We start from the raw sequence: 19,874 nt of genomic DNA, 5'->3' as shown, positions 1-19,874 counted from the left end.
GTAATCCCAGTACTTTGGGAGGCTGAGGCGGGCAGATCACTTGAGGTCAGGAGTTCGAAACTGGCCTGGCCAACGTGATGTGAAACCCTGTCTCTACAGAAATTAGAAAAATTAGCTGGGCATGGTAGGTAGCCCATGCCTGTAATCCCAGCTACCTGGGAGGCTGAGACTGGAGAATCACTTGAAGCAGTGAGCCAAGATCGCGCCACTCTACTCCAATCTGGGCAACAGAGGGAGACTCTGTCTCAAAAAAAAATAATAAAAATAAAAAATGAAAATAAACATACGTGTGCATGTGTCTTTATAGCAGCATGATTTATAGTCCTTTGGGTATATACCCAGTAATGGGATGGCTGGGTCAAATGGTATTTCTAGTTCTAGATCCCTGAGGAATCGCCACACTGACTTCCACATTGGTTGAACTAGTTTACAGTCCCACAAACAGTGTAAAAGTGTTCCTATTTCTCCACATCCTCTCCAGCACCTGTTGTTTCCTAACTTTTTAATGATTGCCATTCTAACTGGTGTGAGATGGTATCTCATTGTGGTTTTGATTTGCATTTCTCTGATGGCCAGTGATGGTGAGCATTTTTTCATGTGTTTTTTGGCTGCATAAATGTCTTCTTTTGAGAAGTGTCTGTTCATGTCTTTCACCCACTTGTTGATGGGGTTGTTTGTTTTTTTCTTGTAAATTTGTTTGAGTTCATTGTAGATTCTGGATATTAGCCCTTTGTCAGATGAGTAGGTTGCGAAAATTTCCTCCCATTTTGTAGGTTGCCTGTTCACTCTGACGGTAGTATCTTTTGCTGTGCAGAAGCTCTTTAGTTTAATTAGATCCCATTTGTCAATTTTGGCTTTTGTCGCCATTGCTTTTGGTGTTTTAGACGTGAAGTCCTTGCCCATGCCTATGTCCTGAATGGTAATGCCTAGGTTTTCTTCTAGGGTTTTTATGGCTTTAGGTCTAACTTTTAAGTCTTTAATCCATCTTGAATTAATTTTTGTATAAGGTGTAAGGAAGGGATCCAGTTTCAGCTTTCTACATATGGCTAGCCAGTTTTCCCAGCACCATTTATTAAATAGGGAATCCTTTTCCCATTGCTTGTTTTTCTCAGATTTGTCAAAGATTAGACAGTTGTAGATACGTGGCATTATTTCTGAGGGCTCTGTTCTGTTCCATTGATCTATATCTCTGTTTTGGTACAAGTACCATGCTGTTTTGGTTACTGTAGCCTTGTAGTATAGTTTGAAGTCAGGTAGTGTGATGCCTCCAGCTTTGTTCTTTTGGCTTAGGATTGACTGGGCGATGCAGGCTCTTTTTTGGTTCCATATGAACTTTAAAGTAGTTTTTTCCAATTCTGTGAAGAAAGTCATTGGTAGCTTGATGGGGATGCCATTGAATCTATAAATTACCTTGGGCAGTATGGCCATTTTCACGATATTGATTCTTCCTACCCATGAACATCGAATGTTCTTCCATTTGTTTGTATCCTCTTTTATTTCATTGAGCAGTGGTTTGTAGTTCTCCTTGAAGAGGTCCTTCACGTCCCTTGTAAGTTGGACTCCTAGGTATTTTATTCTCTTTGAAGCAATTACTTGGAACCAACCCAAATGTCCAACAATGATAGACTGGATTAAGAAAATGTGGCACATATACACCATGGAATACTATGCAGCCATAAAAAATGATGAGTTCATGTCCTTTGGAGGAACATGGATGAAATTGGAAATCATCATTCTCAGTAAACTATCACAAAGACAAAAAACCAAACACCACATGTTCTCACTCATAAGTGGGAATTGAATAATGAGAACACATGGACACAGGAAGGGGAACATCACACTCTGGGGACTGTTGTGGGGTCGGGGGAGGGGGGAGGGATAGCATTAGGAGATATACCTAATGCTAAATGACGAGTTAATGGGTGCAGCACACCAGCATGGCACAGGTATACATATGTAACTAACCTGCACATTGTACACATGTACCCTCAAACTTAAAGTATAATAATAATAAAATAAAATAAATAAAAATAAATAAAAATAAAAAATGAAAATAAAAAAACTAAGACTTGAATTGATTTGTCACATTCTCTCACTTTAAATTTTAGATATTTTTATTCCTGTTAATGTTCTTCTTTATAAATTCGTGTAGCATCAGTGTTTTTCAGTGCTCTTGAAGTAGTGCTGATCTCTATTTTTTAGGTCTTTACTGGGATTTTCACAGCAGAAATGGTTCTCAAGATCATTGCCATGGATCCTTATTACTATTTCCAAGAAGGCTGGAATATCTTTGATGGAATTATTGTCAGCCTCAGTTTAATGGAGCTTGGTCTGTCAAATGTGGAGGGATTGTCTGTACTGCGATCATTCAGACTGGTATCTATTTATATATATCCCTGTCGCTCATTGGCACAACATTTATTTTGAAATTGAATCAATGTATATTTATATAATTATTAATTTTAATTTTAAATTTACATCAATATGTGACATTCTAAGAAAACATGTAAACATCCTCTTTAAAGCTAAACCATTTTCTAAGAATGATGAAAGCATTCAAAATACTCTATAATGATTAGGTATGTAGGGCACATTAGAAAACCTACAAGTACTTTCTAAAACTGTGTTTTAAGTTTATGAAGCTTTTTTGGCCTTACAGTCTGTAAAGATACGCAAATAAAAATTTAGACCCCAGTTAATTTTAGCTTTTTATTAACCCTACTTCTAGGAATGGGGACTGTTTTAAAGCAACATGTGGGAAAATATTTGATGTTATTAGTATCTTAAATAATTGTATAAAAAACTTTTTGAATTATCACAAAATTTTATTGAGAAATATGTAAAATTTATTGAAAATTAAGCAAAATGTGTATTTTTTCAATTTTTTTCCTGTACATTTTTATCACATTATTTAGGTTATTTTACTTTTATATTGGCCTATAAAAATCTATGATTTATACTTTTAATATTTCTTTTTACTGTCTAAAATAGAATCTGAAGATAACATTTATTTGCTAATTTAAAAAGTCTCTAATCAAAATACCATTTGTTTACATGGGCATATCTTTGGATGAATCAGAAATGTTTTATTTATTATTTCTGAAATGTTTTATTTTTATTTTTGCACTTAAATGATATTATGACCAGATTTACAATTCTAATATTGTTAACACTATTTTTTCTGGATTTGAAATTGAATCAGTTCAGTATATTTTGAGTTTTTACATCTACCACGTGTGGTTCTATGATACCACATACTAATAAAATAATGTCTAAAATTATATTATGATTACTACTAACAGCATCTTTTCACTTGATTACAGCTTAGAGTTTTCAAGTTGGCAAAATCCTGGCCCACACTAAATATGCTAATTAAGATCATTGGCAATTCTGTGGGGGCTCTAGGAAACCTCACCTTGGTGTTGGCCATCATCGTCTTCATTTTTGCTGTGGTCGGCATGCAGCTCTTTGGTAAGAGCTACAAAGAATGTGTCTGCAAGATCAATGATGACTGTACGCTCCCACGGTGGCACATGAACGACTTCTTCCACTCCTTCCTGATTGTGTTCCGCGTGCTGTGTGGAGAGTGGATAGAGACCATGTGGGACTGTATGGAGGTCGCTGGCCAAACCATGTGCCTTATTGTTTTCATGTTGGTCATGGTCATTGGAAACCTTGTGGTATGTATGTAGTACAAATGCTCATAAATTAGAACAAGAGCAGACAGTAGCTAGGAACGTGGCCAGATGTAGTAAACATATCTCTGGTTTATAGTAAGTGGCCTAGACTGAAATCCCCCTATTAGCACTCAGAGAATAAGCAAGTTATTTAACTTCTCCTGGGCTCTGGTTTCCCATTTTTTATGACATTGGAATAATAAAACTGAAATCATATCTTTAATGCAAAGATTAAATCAGATGTATTTATGAATGCCTGGGGGCATAAATATTAGATTTTCCTTTCTTCTTCAAAGAAAGTAAATTTTTATCACTAAGAAGAATTGTATCCTAATATTGTTTTGATAAGAAAATGACCTCTACTAAATCTAAAAAGACAACTATCTATTCTATAATCAAATTGCTCTTTGCATGTTCATAGTTCATGTAGTTTGCTTACTTAGAGACATAGGTTGCATAGTACCAAATTTTGAAGACACATTTCAATGAAGTAGACCATTATATTTTAGCTATGCATTGTAATTATCCAAGTAACTTGGAAGAGGACAAAATGTTTTCTTCCCTGAATTTGCATTACTATAGGAAAACCAATTATTACAGTTTAAATTATTCATATGTATGGACATTGTCCAGACTCAAAGGAGTTACTTTTAACTGTGACTTAAAATCACTAATGCAAAAGCATAGTTTATATATTTATATGTTTAATGCTTAAATTTCTCAGTCATGCGTGGGCAAAGCATTTCTTTATGCCATCATATTGGGCCTTTCCTTTGAGGGATACATTTCAGATAAACTTGTTCAAAAGAATGCTACTGGGATACCTACGAACATGTAATTTTTTTCTCCAGAATAGTAAATTAGGGAGCTCTAGATTCTGAAAAAATCTGATACAGAAGTAAGGAAGCAAACTGGGGCTTTTGCCTTGCATGTCTTCCTATAGTGTAACATATTCTGAAACTCAATAACTAACTACATTTCAGGCTAAAAATATTATTATAAATTTTCTTTTACATCAGAAATAATGAATTATTCCTGCATTAACCATAACTTATCAGTTGGCTGAGTAACTTTTTCACATATCCCATGATATTCTGAAAGTTAAAATCGCCTCATACTTTCTACACACACACACACACATACACACAAAGAAAGAAAGAAAAAGAAAAGTAACTTATGTGGGTCTAGCCTAAACCCTGGTATACTTTTAGATTTCTCTCCATCTGTTGAGCTATTTGAACATATAAATTTCAAAGTGTATTTGATGGGAAACGTGTTAAATCGTATATAATTTGCACTTAGAAATTTCTGCTGTTATAAAAGTTTGTGGCCATTGGGCCAAAGGAATTTGTATTTCAAGTATATCATTTGGAACATATCATCAGGCTATTAAATAAATAAGTTCATTCTTTATATACACGAAGCTAGAAATTCCCTAGGAAAAAAAATGGTAAGATGAAGTAAGATAAAATGATTAAGAAGAAAGTATCTTTCTCTCTCTCTCTCTCTCTCTCTCGTTGGCAGAATCCTTGAGGGTAGGATTTTGTCTTTGCACTGGCAAACCTGAGTAGACACCATTTAAATCTTAGAAGCTCTGCTTTCCTATTGTCCCTCCCAATAGGAAAAAAAGAAGAGGTGCTTGTTTTATCATTTTGCCCTTAGAGCAGGATATTAGGTCCTTTAAAGAGTGTGTGACTTAGACATGGCATCTGAAATATAGTAAGCATTCAATAAACATTTGTTGAAATAATTTTAGCAAAGATCTATGAGTTCCCTTTTTAGGCTGTTATTTAAATGCATATTTCAATATTAAAATAGACATTTTTCTTTTTTTCTTTTAGGTTCTGAACCTCTTTCTGGCCTTATTGTTGAGTTCATTTAGCTCAGACAACCTTGCTGCTACTGATGATGACAATGAAATGAATAATCTGCAGATTGCAGTAGGAAGAATGCAAAAGGGAATTGATTATGTGAAAAATAAGATGCGGGAGTGTTTCCAAAAAGCCTTTTTTAGAAAGCCAAAAGTTATAGAAATCCATGAAGGCAATAAGATAGACAGCTGCATGTCCAATAATACTGGAATTGAAATAAGCAAAGAGCTTAATTATCTTAGAGATGGGAATGGAACCACCAGTGGTGTAGGTACTGGAAGCAGTGTTGAAAAATACGTAATCGATGAAAATGATTATATGTCATTCATAAACAACCCCAGCCTCACCGTCACAGTGCCAATTGCTGTTGGAGAGTCTGACTTTGAAAACTTAAATACTGAAGAGTTCAGCAGTGAGTCAGAACTAGAAGAAAGCAAAGAGGTAAGAATGCTTTTAAATTTTTTGTTCCATTTCCTATGATAACCATGTACTACAGTTATTTACTATTTTCATTGTGCTTATATGCATTATCAAAAAGCAATATTGAAAGTCATATGTCTATAGTGATGTTGGAAAATCACAAGATACTCTTTATTGGGAAATGGATTTCTAAAAATTCCAATTTTTCACAGGAAATTAAACCATTCTGAGTCTTTAGTATATTCATTTTCTTGATCATTTGAAAATGTGGTTAAAAAATGTGGCCTTTTAGGCTGGGCATGGTGGCTCATGCCTGTAATCCCAGCACTTTGGGAGGCCAAGGAGGCAGATCACTTGAGCCCAGGAGTTCGAGGCCAGCCTGGGCAAGATGGCAAAATCTCCTCTCTACAAAAAAAAATACGAAAATTCACTGGGCATGGTGGCACATGCCTGTAGTCCCAGCTACAAAGGAGGCTGAGGTGGGAGGATTGCTTAAGCCCAGTAGGTAGAGGCTGCAGTGAGCCACGATCACATCATTCTACTCAACCCTGAGTGACAAAGCAAGACCCTATCTCAAAAAAAAGTAGCCTTCCAAAAAAGAGATGTTATTTAGTACATTACACTCTCAACTACATTATGTTCTTTAAAAAATAACTTATTTTCGTCATCTCCTTACTCTCTATATTAGGTTTTGCTATGATTTTTATGTGAAAACTTTATGTACTTTTGTTAACCTCTGAAAGTCTTATTCACTATGATAGTGTTTCATTTATGAAAGTGTTATACACATTAGGAAAGTACAAGTAGTACTTATTATATTTTGCCCAGTCAAGGATGAGCAGATCTATAGTCTTCCAGAGTAACTTGAAAATACTAAGAACTACTTTTAAAAGCTTCACTTGAGGGCTATAGTTATTTTGTAGGTTAATAAACCTACTCTTACTGTTGTGTTACTAGGAAAGAGAAAAAAGAAGGAAGGAAGGGAGGGAGGGAGGAAGGGAGGGAAAGGAGAAGAGGGAGGAAGGACGGAAGGAATGAAGGAAGGAAGGAACGAAGGGAGGGAGGGAGGGAGGGAGGAAGGAAGGGGAAAGAAAGGGAAAGAGAAAGAAAGAAGGAAATAAAGAAAAAAGGGAAAGAGAAAAAAAGAAGGAAAGAAAGAAAGAAAAGAAGGAAGAAATAAAGAAAGAGAAAGAAAAGAAAAAGAGAAAGAAAGGAAGGAAGGGAAGAAAGAAAGAAGAAAGGGAAGGAGGGAAGGAAAGAAGGAAGGAAGCAAGGAAGGAAGGAAATTGTTCCTACTGCATGATTAGTATTCTTAAGTTTCTATCATAGTAGTAATGTTATTAATTCTTCAATCCTGTGTTGTGGAAAAGAGGATTAAAATTCTTTACTATTATTTATTTATAGACGTTTAATACATATGAGTACAAAGTAAGTCTAGCACAGATGGAGTTATCAAAGACAGGTTTTGGCTTGAGGGTATAATGTTGACACAGTGGGAACCAAACCAACAATGTCTGATTTCGTGAGCATATTTTGGAACTCTTTTTTTTAAATAAGTGTATCAACAAAACTTGATCTGAAATCCCTATAATAGGTAGCTGACAATCTTACAACTCATAGCTTCCTGACTATTTTCAGGTATTTTAGAGTTGCTGAAAGATAGTATAATAATAAGTTGGAAAATATTTTGAAAAAGGTAAAATACATACAAAATTAAGTAGTGATATTTTTTCTCTGAATTCCATTTAAAGTCTGCTAAGTGAGTTCAACTCTAATTTATGTTGCTCATTCTGACAAACTAAGAATTCAACTCTAATTTTATTTCCCATCACCTGGCATGAATTTATGTAAGAAGAAATACCAGTCAATTAACAAGAACTTACTGAGCACTTTTTGTGAATTCAGCAATCTGCTGGATACTAGGGGTGAAGGAGAGCTCTATAACAAAACTCTCCTTCAAGGAAATCTTGACATATTTGAGTAAGCTAACATGAACTCATGAAATTATTAAAGACCTATTAAAAACTTTAATCCTGGCTGGGTGCGGTAGCTCACGTCTGTAATCCCAGCACTTTGGGAGGCCGAGGCGAGTGGATCACGAGGTCAGGAGATCGAGACCATCCTAGCTAGTACGGTGAAACCCTGTCTCTACTAAAAAATAAATAAATAAATACAAAAAAATTCGCTGGGTGCGGTGGCGGGCACCTGTAGTCCCAGCTACTCGGGAGGCTGAGGCGGGAGAATGGTGTGAACCCGGTAGGCGGAGCTTGCAGTGAGCGGAGATTGCGCCACTGCACTCCAGCCTGAGCAACAGAGCAAGACTCCATCTCAAAAAAAAAAAAAGTTTAATCCTGTCAGGTTGCATGTGAGGCTATAGGTATTGAGGAGAGCAAGAATAATTGCTAAATGGAAGAGATAAAATTGAAATAGACCTCAAAGTTTGGGTCAAATATACATTATCAGAAAGCAAAATGCTGAAGCTTACTAAAGGAAAGGTGGAGCTGACAGTGAGCTTGGTATTAAAGACAGTTTAGGGTTATCATTGCAGATTATCATGCAGTGATAATCTACATGAGGTAAGTGTTGGTTGAATATATAGTGGAAAATATGTTTGAATGTGTGAGGTAGTTTCAGATTATAAAGTTTTAAAGTAAGCCAAAGAGTTTGGAGTTAATAGGGAGCTATTTTCTGTTCTGAAGCAGGGGAAGGCAATTGGAAAGTGGTATTTTAAGAACATTTATTTGATATCAAAGAGTAAAACAGTTTAGAGTGAAAGATAAGAAAGGTTATCTTGGGGAATATGGTGATAATCATTCGGTAGCAATGAGGTGATAAAATTCTCAGCTAGGGCAATAAGTAATGAGAATTGAGACTCATTGGCAACTTGACAAACCTACTAAAGAACCTGGGAAAATGGAAAAACAGCAATGCCACTTTCTGAAATGGTCTTTAAAAAGGGCTACCCAGTTTATGTTGGAAAAGGAGTTCAATTGGGATATACTGAATTAGAAGTGTCAGTGTTGGGAAACAGAGTCTGAGTTAGAGGTCAGGGTTTAAAAATAAGGTATAATGTTTGATAATGCAGATTTTATAATTACCTGATTCCCTGAAAATGGAGGAGCTCATCAAATAAGTAATTATAAAGTGAAAGAAAAAAGAGAAAACTAGAGACAAAGTAGCATAAAAACTTAGGGTCAAAAGAGGTAGAAAAGCTAAAAGATAGAAAAACTTTTTCTAGATTAATACGATAGAATTTTTTGACATCAGATTTATGGAAAGTAAATATCTTAATTTCCTCCTACCGAACAGTTGGTTTCCAAAGTATTTTTAAAATTTCATAATGACCACCGATATTTCAAATGACTGCTAATTATCATGCCTTTTTAATGGCTTAAACATAATAAATTTAGAGTAACAAGATATAAATCTCTCCTTTGTTATGTACCTGGAAAACATTTCTTACCTGAACAAAAATGTCTTATGGGGTGATTTAAATAACTACTTTATCCTCCTCTTTCAAGCTAAATTTTGAATACATAGATTTCAATTACAAAATGTAAAGAAATTATTTAAAATATATAAATATGTTAGTGGGAAAATCACTAAACAAATATAAAGGTATATATTTTTATAAAGCTAGAATAAAATTTCAAATTATCTTGCACAGTAATATTAAATTCAACAATAAATTTTATATGAATGATTTGGTAAAATGAATACTTTAAAAACCCACCAAAAAAGTAATAGGGAACTCTCATATATGCTCACACACAAGATAAAATGCAGACAGTTTTTAAAATAAAAAGCCAATACCAGCATGTTCTAATATCATAGAGCAGATTAAATGAGTTCTAGCAAAGTGCATTTTTGATTTGAAATTTCCAAAAGCTGCTAGCATACTTCAGGTGCACACTTATATTGGCTGGGTTATTCCCTTTTAATAGCTATCACACACACGAACACATTTAAAATAACATATCCATAAAGTGACATTTTGGTTCATGTTTCTTAGGTTTTTGACACAAGTAGCAAGAGAACATTGAACTCTACTTTGCAGAGCACAGAATATCCTTCCTCTTTGCTAATAAAGTGAGCACTCACATAAGTTAAACCCACCAGAGTTATACATTTTTCACTAAAAAACTTGCATGAAATGTCTGCTTGAAGAGGAGACAGTAAATTAATCATTAATTTAGATGGTATTTGGAAACTCTAGTTACTGTATTTCCTCTGTTCATTTTCATAATAAAGGATACCTGACTATCGCAGCTAAAGAGAAATGATCCCTAGAAGTTTTTAGAGATAAACATGGGAATTGCTGTTATATATGTTATATATGTGTGTATATATATTACATCTGTATATATGAATACCACTAACATAAATAGGCTGGTATGGAAGCAAATATAAACTTTTGCATGAAAAAAGTTCAGGAAATTGAAGGCATGGATTTCAAAATAGTGATTTTTTTAATCTTGCAAAAACTTGGAATTATGCGAATCTTTTTGAGGAGCTCTAATGTAGAATTTGTTTGTTTTTATATTTTTTAAGTTCTCATAATCATAATTTCTTGAAATACTTATATAACTATGAATTTTTGCAATTTAATTCTTAAAAGATTATTGGTTTGTCTTCCTAAGTGAAGGATATAGAATAAATGCTTTTAACAATCATATTTGAAGTTGAATTCCAAACACAATCTAGCAATATCATACTGTGACCTTCACTGCTTACCATTCTTACTTCTCACAGGAGTAAAATCAAGCTGGAGCCATCAAGAATGCAGCTCTGGTGTTTTTTAACCAGCCAGAGGCTCGTGCCACCACTTTTACCCAGGTTATCCAAGCAAGTTGTACATGTACAATCACGTTCTAAATGAATTTTGACTGGCCTGCATGCTACTCAGCTATGTTCCTTCCCCTGCCATGGCAAGGAAGTGCTAGACTTGCCCAGCTGCTCTCTGCTGAATCGTGTGACACATCACAGCATGGTCAGGCGAGATGGGCAATCCCAACATCATATTTAATTCTGCTAATGAGTTTTCTAATTTAGTCTTTAGCCTTTTAAAACCAATTGCATGCTCTATAGGATTTGTAATATCTATTTTAAAACATGATAGGAATGTTTATGGTTCAATATAGTCAGGGATGTAGGAGGGCATGCATTTTTTTGTTTCTCTGCTTTTATTTCATTAAAATAAGACCACAACTTTTTATTGTTGATTCAGCCTTTATAAGTAAATTGTATTACCAAAATAAGCCTCACAGGGTTTTTTTCTGATAGTACTGCCACTTTCAGATCATTATATTCAGATCTATGAATATAATTTTCAGCCTATCCAATTCATGTGCTCCAGATGAAAATGTTTGCTTTCATGTTTTGGGGGAAAGGTTCTGTAAAAAAAAAAAAAAAGAAAAAAAAGAAAGAAAGAAAAAAGAAAAAAAAAAGAATAGGGTGATCCTGAGGTTTGGAGATGAAGGGCCATAGTCTGTATGCATTTGGGCAACACATATCTTGGATTTTCATGTAGGTTGGGAAAAGTTATGTCTGCAAAACCATAGTGATCATTGTAACTTAAAAAAGGAAACATCATGATATATGGGATGAAAATTCATTATATCTTGATCATTAAGTAATTGGCCTAGTGTACCCATTTGTTATTTGAAATGTCAATGATTTATGTTAATTTCTCCCTAAATGTTCTATCCAAAACTGACCAGGCAAAAAAGAGACTTGGAAAATTTACTATTTTCAGTTATTAATTATTAATTTTAGTTTTGTGAGGAGTAAAGGGAATCTCCCAAGATTATTGTAGATTTGTGGCGTAATGAGCTTTTATTTTATTCTGTTCACTCAACTTTCTCCATTGCTTACTGGAATCTCAGCCAGAGTGCGGGTTCTGGGAGGGAAATTTTGAAGGAAATGTAAAGAGTTCATAAATATTGGGCAGTTTTCAAGGCTTCTGGTGACAAGGAATATCTAATTAGTTTGGGGTTGTCTCTAGGTTTAATTTATGCATAGTCTTATTTTCCTTAGGGATAACTGAGAATTAGTTGCAGAATGCAAAAAAAATGAGAAATAAAATTATCAATGGAAAATAGTAACAAAGATACAGTCCATGGTGATTTATGCAATTTTTATTCAGCACCAAATTTTTAGATTTAGAATAAAACAACATTATTAGTCATTGAAGAAAATCTGATTTCTTTTTCTTTTTTCTTCACCAGCAGAATAGAATTAAATGGTACTGCCATATTATTATTTACACTGTGTTTATAACAGGATTCCCTCCTTTTCAGAGTCTTTATGGAAACTTTGAAAGTAGATGTTTGACTAAGGTCCGGAGCACATGCCCTTCTGGACATGACTTTGTGCTATTTTTGGAATTTGGAAAGCAATGGAATAATGACTCTAGCTTTCAGTTTCTCTGTTACATGGCCAGTGTCTTCCAAATGCTCTTTGTGAAATTGAATGTGAGATAATTTTTGAGAGGAGCAGATGGGTGTGTGAATAGCCATTTTAAACCCATCTCAACCTTTAAAGATGGTCTTGGTGCTTTAGTGTACTTCTGCTGAAAAAAAAAAAAATTAAAGCTGGTTCAGACGAATACTTTTGTATCCTTTCTGAAAACAAATGGCCTTTTTCTTTTTCCTTTTTGATGCTCTTTTACCCTACTCTTCAACTACAACGTAATTATTTTCAGTTTCACATACCATGTTCTTATTCAGGCTATTTTAAAAATAAAAGAAGCTCCGGGGATGTTGTACATTTAATATATGTCCAGGCAAACCAGATGGTGGTGGTTCATATTTTTAATCTTTCGATAAGTGATCGTGAAAAAAAAAAAAAAAAGAGCTACTGGCCTTTTCCTTCCCGCCTAGGACAAGCAACCCAATGGCTTCACTGTGTGGCTGTCTTGTTTTTCAGGTGAAATATCATAAGTCAAGATATGGTTATGCATATCCAAAAGATCAGACTAAGGCCCTGATAGTGTGTATGACCAAAACTTTCCTCTTCTACTAGCAAGACAAAAATCCACAACTTTTTAGAGAAATGGCTAGATTTTAAAGGCAATCTGTAATGGCTGAATCTTTTATTTTGCCTCTTGAATCATACAGCAGTTTGTGAGAGTCAAATATTTGATAGCTGATTGAAAATAAATGAAATGTGAGCGCATTTCAGTGGAAGTAGGCCAGTTGCTAACATTCTCTTCTATCTCTGAAAGTTAAATTTCATTATTTAATTGGATAAAAATCAAGAGCAATATTTGTCATATGGGGGAATTTCTATATAAGGTCACTCTATTGGGCGGCGGGGAATGGTCTCGTGGCCTTTTTTGGGTGTTAACTCTATTGTTTCTTATGTTGAAATAACCCATTCCTGTGAGTGGTATTTGTAGTTAACCTTCTTGAAAACTTCATATTCAGGTACCATGTCTTTGAGGACATGGTTCTTGGATCAGCGTGCGGCTTCCACAGCATTGCGCCGGGCTTCTGCTACAGCCAGGCATGTTTTCTGCGGCTGAATTAGGCCTGGAGAATGTTGCATCTTAAAACCTGCTTTTCAGCGTGCATTTGTAGAGCATAAGCCATCATCCCTCTGTAGACCCACTCGTTTCTACAAGGGATGGAAAAATTTAACCTTTAAGTGCCATAAAATATTGGAGGAGTAGGGAGAAAATAGTACAAGAAAACAAGTTTGAACTTGTACTATGTGGTTTTATATGGAAGCTTTCTATTATTATGCCTATATTCCCAATTATATTTTTCTAACTACTTCAGGACAAGTATGAATTTAGTTATTTAGTATAGTCATCTAGTTTCTTAATATGGTAAATTTAATTTCAGGTTTCTTTGCTTTTTTATATCATTGTAGTATCACAGCTATGGCAATATAAAGAAAGTAAGTTATTCTTTATATTTATTGGTCACTTGCTTTTAAATCAGTTATATGCTTTTAAATAAATTTGAAGGTCATTTTGGTTATGGCTATAATAAGATGTATCACAAACCACCCTTGACTAGAATGTGAATGCCAAAGTGTTGAACTTATTTAGAAAATGTTTAGATTATTTAGATTATATCAGTGTATAGAATTATGCATATAGTATAGATATGTATCATATAAATGTATACAATTTAAAATGCTTATATAGTTTTTCAGGGTGTACATTAGTGATTTAAAAAATACAGCAGTAAAGTTCTTTATGTATCCAGTGACTAAAGCATATCAGGTAGTAGATCATAATTCGTAAGCTGATGTAATTTAATAAGAAGGTGATTCACAATTTAATTTATAAATGTAGGTAAATGCATAACTTTAGAAATTTGATACAATATTTTCATAACTTCATACAATTAAAACATAGGTACTTTCCTATGATAAATATGTGACCTAGGGCATTAAAAAATAATGTAGTAGCATTTCTGACTAAGAAGATTAAATTGGCCAGATGCAGTGGCTCATGCCTATAATCCCAACACTTTGGGAGGCCAAGGTGGATGAATCACTTGAGCCCAGGAGTTTGAGACCAGCCTGGGCAATATGGCAAAACCCTATCTCTACAAAAAATTTAAAAATCATCCAGGTGGGCCAGGCACGGTGGCTCACGCCTGTAATCCCAGCACTTTGGGAGGCCGAGGCAGGCTGATCACGAAGTCAGGAGATCAAGACCATCCTGGCTAACATGGTGAAACCCCGTCTCTACTAAAAATACAAAAAATTAGCCAATCATGGTGGCGGGCGCCTGTAGTCCCAGCTACTAGAGAGGCTGAGGCAGGAGAATTGTGTGAACCCAGGAAGCGGAGCTTGCAGTGAGCCGAGACTGCGCCACTGCACTCCAGCCTGGGTGACAGAGCGAGACTCCGTCTCAAAAAAATAAATAAATAAATATAAAAGTTAGCCAGGCACGGTGGCATGCACCTACAGCCCCAGCTACTTGGGAGGCTGAGATGGGAGAATCAGTTGCGTCTGGGATGTTGAGGATACAGTGAGCCATGATCATGCCACAGCACTCCAGTCTGGGCCACAGAATGAGACCCTGTCCCAAGGGGGAAAAAAAAAAGATTAAATCATGACTGAGGCAGATTCTTCAACTTGGGAAAACTGACTTTATGTCAACCTTCATAGATAAGGAAGCCTCCCATAAAACACTTTTTAGTGAAATGCAAACTAATCTACCGTCTTCTAAGCTTTGGTTCATAAGAGTCCTGGGAGCTTGCAAAAGCTTTGCCAAGATTCCCTCTGAGCATTCCTTGAGGGGCTTTCTAGAGCCTGGAAGATTATCTTTATAATCAGAAAATCTCTGTAATAACTGTAAAGCAATTCTCCATGAAATGGGTTCTACTCCTTGGACAATAGCAGAATGGTGGCAGGGTTTTTTCCTTGTCCATTGTCAAAAGATATGTTGTGCCTCATAATGCCAGGAGGAGAGAGGTGAACTGTGATCACTGTCCCTCTCTATCTTAAGATGTATAAATACATAACCTCCAGAGCTATTAGAGATTATTTATGTCCAAACAAGTTAATCACATTCACAAATATATGTAATCTAATGACCTTCCCAATAACAAAAAAATACAACCAGAGGTCCATATGTGTAAACGATTGATTCCGTTGTCATTCAGGTTAGTGGTTATTAGGACTTGTGCTGTAAAGGATTTGCTTTAAATATGTATGTATTTGTATTAAACATAAGACACCTGCAGAATACATGGAAGAATTATAATGTGAAAAATTAAACATCTCACAATTATATTAGCAGTGGTAACATGGGAAGTGAAGGGTGAGTATATTTTCTAAAGTTTTCAAATGGAAAAGTACCTGTGTGTGTATACATGTATAATTACTTTTTTATTATTAACATATTATTTTTTATTAAATCATTCCTATTTAATAAGACAATGCATTTTCTAATATAATTACATAGACTCTTTCAGGACCAGACTTGACTTATATATCAAAATGGAGAGATAGAATTATCTAAAGACTATAATTCTCTCTATAAAGTGACATTAAAAGGTATTCAAACATTCATCGATTCACTCTTCATGAACTCAACTTAACTATTCAGTGTCTATTCTATACTTGGTGATACACTGGATCTTTTGGTATATATATGTGTCTATATGTATGTAGTTGGTATACGTGTGTGTATATATAGATGTATGTAAATATGTACATATATTTATGAGAATATTTAGTCAAAGGAAACAAGTATAATAGATTAAATGCTCTATAAAATTTAGCATGAAGAAAATCATGCAAGAAAGAATGGCTTCATACAGGAAGTTGAGGTTTACTATGATAAGGCTCAGAAGTTATTAAGTTTGGATTAGCCAAGAGGACAAAAAAGCATGAAACTTTCTATAACTAACCTCAAATACTTTGGTTTCTTATTGTTATTACTTATAAAGTGGATATTAATAGCTGTCACTCATCAAAAGCCATAGTAATTAACCCATAAACTACCAGTGAAATTGGAAGAAAAAGTGGCTGAGACCAAACAATTATCCAGTATTTTCTTAGTTACACCAGAAGCTGCTACAATTCTACCCAGCAGTAATTTTCCTAGGTCTTTCTTAAATGAATAAAAATATCCTGGCTATAAGAAGCAGAAAAATCCTAGGAGAGGAGAAGATGTCTTGGCTTTCCCACCTCTCCATAATGTAGAGGAAATTAATGGTAAAAAAAAAAAAAAAAAAAAAAATTGTGCTATCATGACCCTAAGAACTATCAGCCAAAAGTGATGGCCTAGCTTCTCTATTTACCATACTCCAACCTAGGAGGTACTCTACTAAAAAACTGTATTTTGACTTAAAGTAATTTTCATAATATATATATTTGGACATGGCTAATGTCAGGTTAATATCAACTTTAAAGTAACACCACAGAAAGTATCATCTGGATACTACCCTTTAATTAGTTCACATTGTAAAATATTAAACTACATTTGCATTACGTCTTCATTAAATCAGGAATTTTGAGCCAAATTTCCCCAACATGAACTGTGTTTATGGCCTTTTTAAAAATAACACAGTAACTCTTTCAGAAGGCTTTGGCAGAGTGACCCTAACACTCAGCTACCAAAGTTAATGGGGGCTTTGAAATCATTAACATGTCCATGCACTATTGTTTCATCTTAAAAGCTTTACATTATCTAGGTTGTGCTGTGCGTCATGTCTTTGCAACTGTTTTCATAAAACTTTGCACAATCCTGTCTTCCCAAGTGATCTCAGAGTACTTATTATTTATTCTTGTAATATTACAGTGGCTCTTCTAGCCATGTGGCATGTCACAATGATTTAGTTAAAGGAAGTATTCACAGCCGGATCACACATTGAATTCAGAATGTGCTCCTAATGAAAGTCTATAGAGATTCTGGACAATGCCATTTATGAGGAAATTTCCATTTCATTTAGAATTCTTTGACAAGTATTGAATTCAGTTATGCAGTTCAAAAAAAGAGAGAGATCCATCATTTTTCTTCTAGTAAAATAAGAAGAAAATTATGTAAGCCAGAGAAAAATAGAGCTCAAAGTTGAAATATGACTGTGACTAATGTTAATGTGCTGCTCTTTCTTTCTAAAATTATAGAAACATGGACAATACTTAGAAACAACTGGTAATATTCTTTGCCCTTTGAAAATTTCCATCTGAAGAGGTGGAAATTAAAAATTTGATTTGATGTATTTTAATTAACATAATCATGGCTAGATGTCAGCATACCACTTTATCCAACTATTCTTGGTTTGGCCTCAATGTATTAAGTTATATTCATATGGCATTCATATACAAATGCAGATCATTAAACAAGTTAATCAGTATAATCCATCCATTCCAGACCACCCACATTGAATGTTGTCTAAACTTTTTTTGTCTGATTCAGGTCAGTAGTCACGTTATTTTGAATAGTACAACTTGATTTATGTTAAATTATTAGTACATAATGATCAGTAATGCTAATAGAGTTAAATGCTATCACTACTATTTTTTTTTCACACAATGACACAGTATTTCCCAGTTAGTTAAATAAAAGGGGGAAAATCACATCTTTGAAATGGGATTTTGTTTCCAGAAATTAAATGCAACCAGCTCATCTGAAGGAAGCACAGTTGATGTTGTTCTACCCCGAGAAGGTGAACAAGCTGAAACTGAACCCGAAGAAGACCTTAAACCGGAAGCTTGTTTTACTGAAGGTAAACAAGCTCTGATGTGATTAAATACAATCTCCCCTTGTTCTTTACGGAGACTGAATATGCCTCATTTAAAAAAAAAAATTTATGAAACGAGGTGTGGTGGCTTATGCCTGTAACCCCAAAATTTTGGGAGGCTACGGTAGGAGGATTGCTTGACCCCAGGAGTTTGAGACCACCCTGGGAAATGTAGTAAGGCTTTGCCTCTACAAAAAAAAAAATAAAGAAAGAAAAAATAAATTAGCTCAACATGGTGGTACATGCCTGTAGTCGCTGCTACCTCAGCCACAGCTGTATCTTAGAGCTTTTGCAGGGAGTCGAGGCTACAGTGAGCCATGATTATGCCACTGCACTTCAGCCTGGGCAATAGAGCAAGACCCTGTCTCAAAATAAATACATAAATTAAATTAAATAAGAAAAATATTTAAAATAAATAGTGAAGGCATGTTTATCTTTATTTTCCTTTTTTGTCTTTTAAAAAGTTAATCTCTCTAGATTTCTGGATTATACTTATGGCAGTGACTATTCCTGGACAGTTAAAATGATCTGATAGGTCTTTTTGTTTTCTCATTCTCCATAATGTGAGGAAGCTGACCCTATGAGATAAATGGCATTCTAGAATGTCATGTCATTGATATTGTAATCCCTTCAGAACTCCTTGGCAATGGTGTGATTTGATTTATAGATGCTACAGTAATTACATTCCCTCCCTTACAGTTCCAATGTGGTTAATGTGCTTTGGCTAGAGCTGTTTTGAGATGTAACTGTATTGTGAAGCTTTGGCAGGGAAAGCAATAGCTGTTCTCACAGAAAGCAGCACAATGTCTTGAACACAAATCAATGAATATCTATTATTCAATGTGACTGGACTTAATCAGATGAGTAGTAGCTCAGAGACTTACAGCAGAAGAGTGGATGGGAGTTAGAAATAATGCGAAAGCTAGGAGGGGGAGGACAAAGGGAAAGAGATACTGACTGACGAGCTGAGTCATAGGTGTGACTAAGAGAAGCACTGAGGCTGAAAAATAAATTAGCTTCGGAAAATTGACAGTGGCTGATGCCTGGGAAGACAGCGAGATTTTCTGTGCATGTGTGCATGAAAAGAATTAAAAACCCAGGATCACATCAAAATATGAATAAACAAATCGAACATGTAGTTTTTGCCTCAAACCTGAGAGATGCACCTGGACTATTTTCATCAATGGCCTTGAGGCAAAATAATCCTGACTGGTGGTGAAGAATGAAACCATTGTTACTTAAGCAAATCTAGATAAAATATTTCCTTGAATTCTAAGTAGCTGGCTGAGTATATAAGTCTGAGAATAATTCATTATACAGGAGGGATGCTGACGATAACTAGGAAATGAAGGAGATGGTTACCCTATGAAATGATTACCTGGAAGTGGAGTGGGGAAGGGGCAAGAAAGTTTATTTTTTCCTATTTAAGATTAAAATATATTTTTTAATTAACTATATTTGATTTTTAGGATGTATTAAAAAGTTTCCATTCTGTCAAGTAAGTACAGAAGAAGGCAAAGGGAAGATCTGGTGGAATCTTCGAAAAACCTGCTACAGTATTGTTGAGCACAACTGGTTTGAGACTTTCATTGTGTTCATGATCCTTCTCAGTAGTGGTGCATTGGTAAGTGAAATGCATATTGGCAAGAATCAGATTCTGGTGAAATAGTTTATTCTCCAAAATTACCAGATGC

The 19,874-nt window shown here is 34.9% G+C and overlaps 1 protein-coding gene across 13 annotated transcripts in view; it reads left to right on the top strand.

The window, feature by feature from the left end:
• Window positions 1-19,874, top strand: part of SCN3A (sodium voltage-gated channel alpha subunit 3) — a 116,525-nt gene that overhangs the window by 70,431 nt on the left and 26,220 nt on the right. For 10 of the 13 annotated variants that reach the window (NM_001081676.2, XM_017004662.3, XM_017004661.3 and 7 more), the window contains 5 exons: window positions 2,203-2,376; window positions 3,324-3,680; window positions 5,519-5,989; window positions 18,045-18,165; window positions 19,650-19,804. In NM_001081676.2, the coding sequence (NP_001075145.1) occupies window positions 2,203-2,376; window positions 3,324-3,680; window positions 5,519-5,989; window positions 18,045-18,165; window positions 19,650-19,804 (1,278 nt within the window). The other 3 variants (XM_017004666.2, XM_017004665.2, XM_017004664.2) reach the window with 1 other exon arrangement.

The sequence above is a fragment of the Homo sapiens genome, chromosome 2 (genome assembly GCF_000001405.40).
Source record: "Homo sapiens chromosome 2, GRCh38.p14 Primary Assembly".
NCBI lineage: Eukaryota > Metazoa > Chordata > Mammalia > Primates > Hominidae > Homo > Homo sapiens.
Note: the sequence above shows the minus strand (reverse complement) of the source record. Positions and strands in the feature narration are given on the sequence as shown.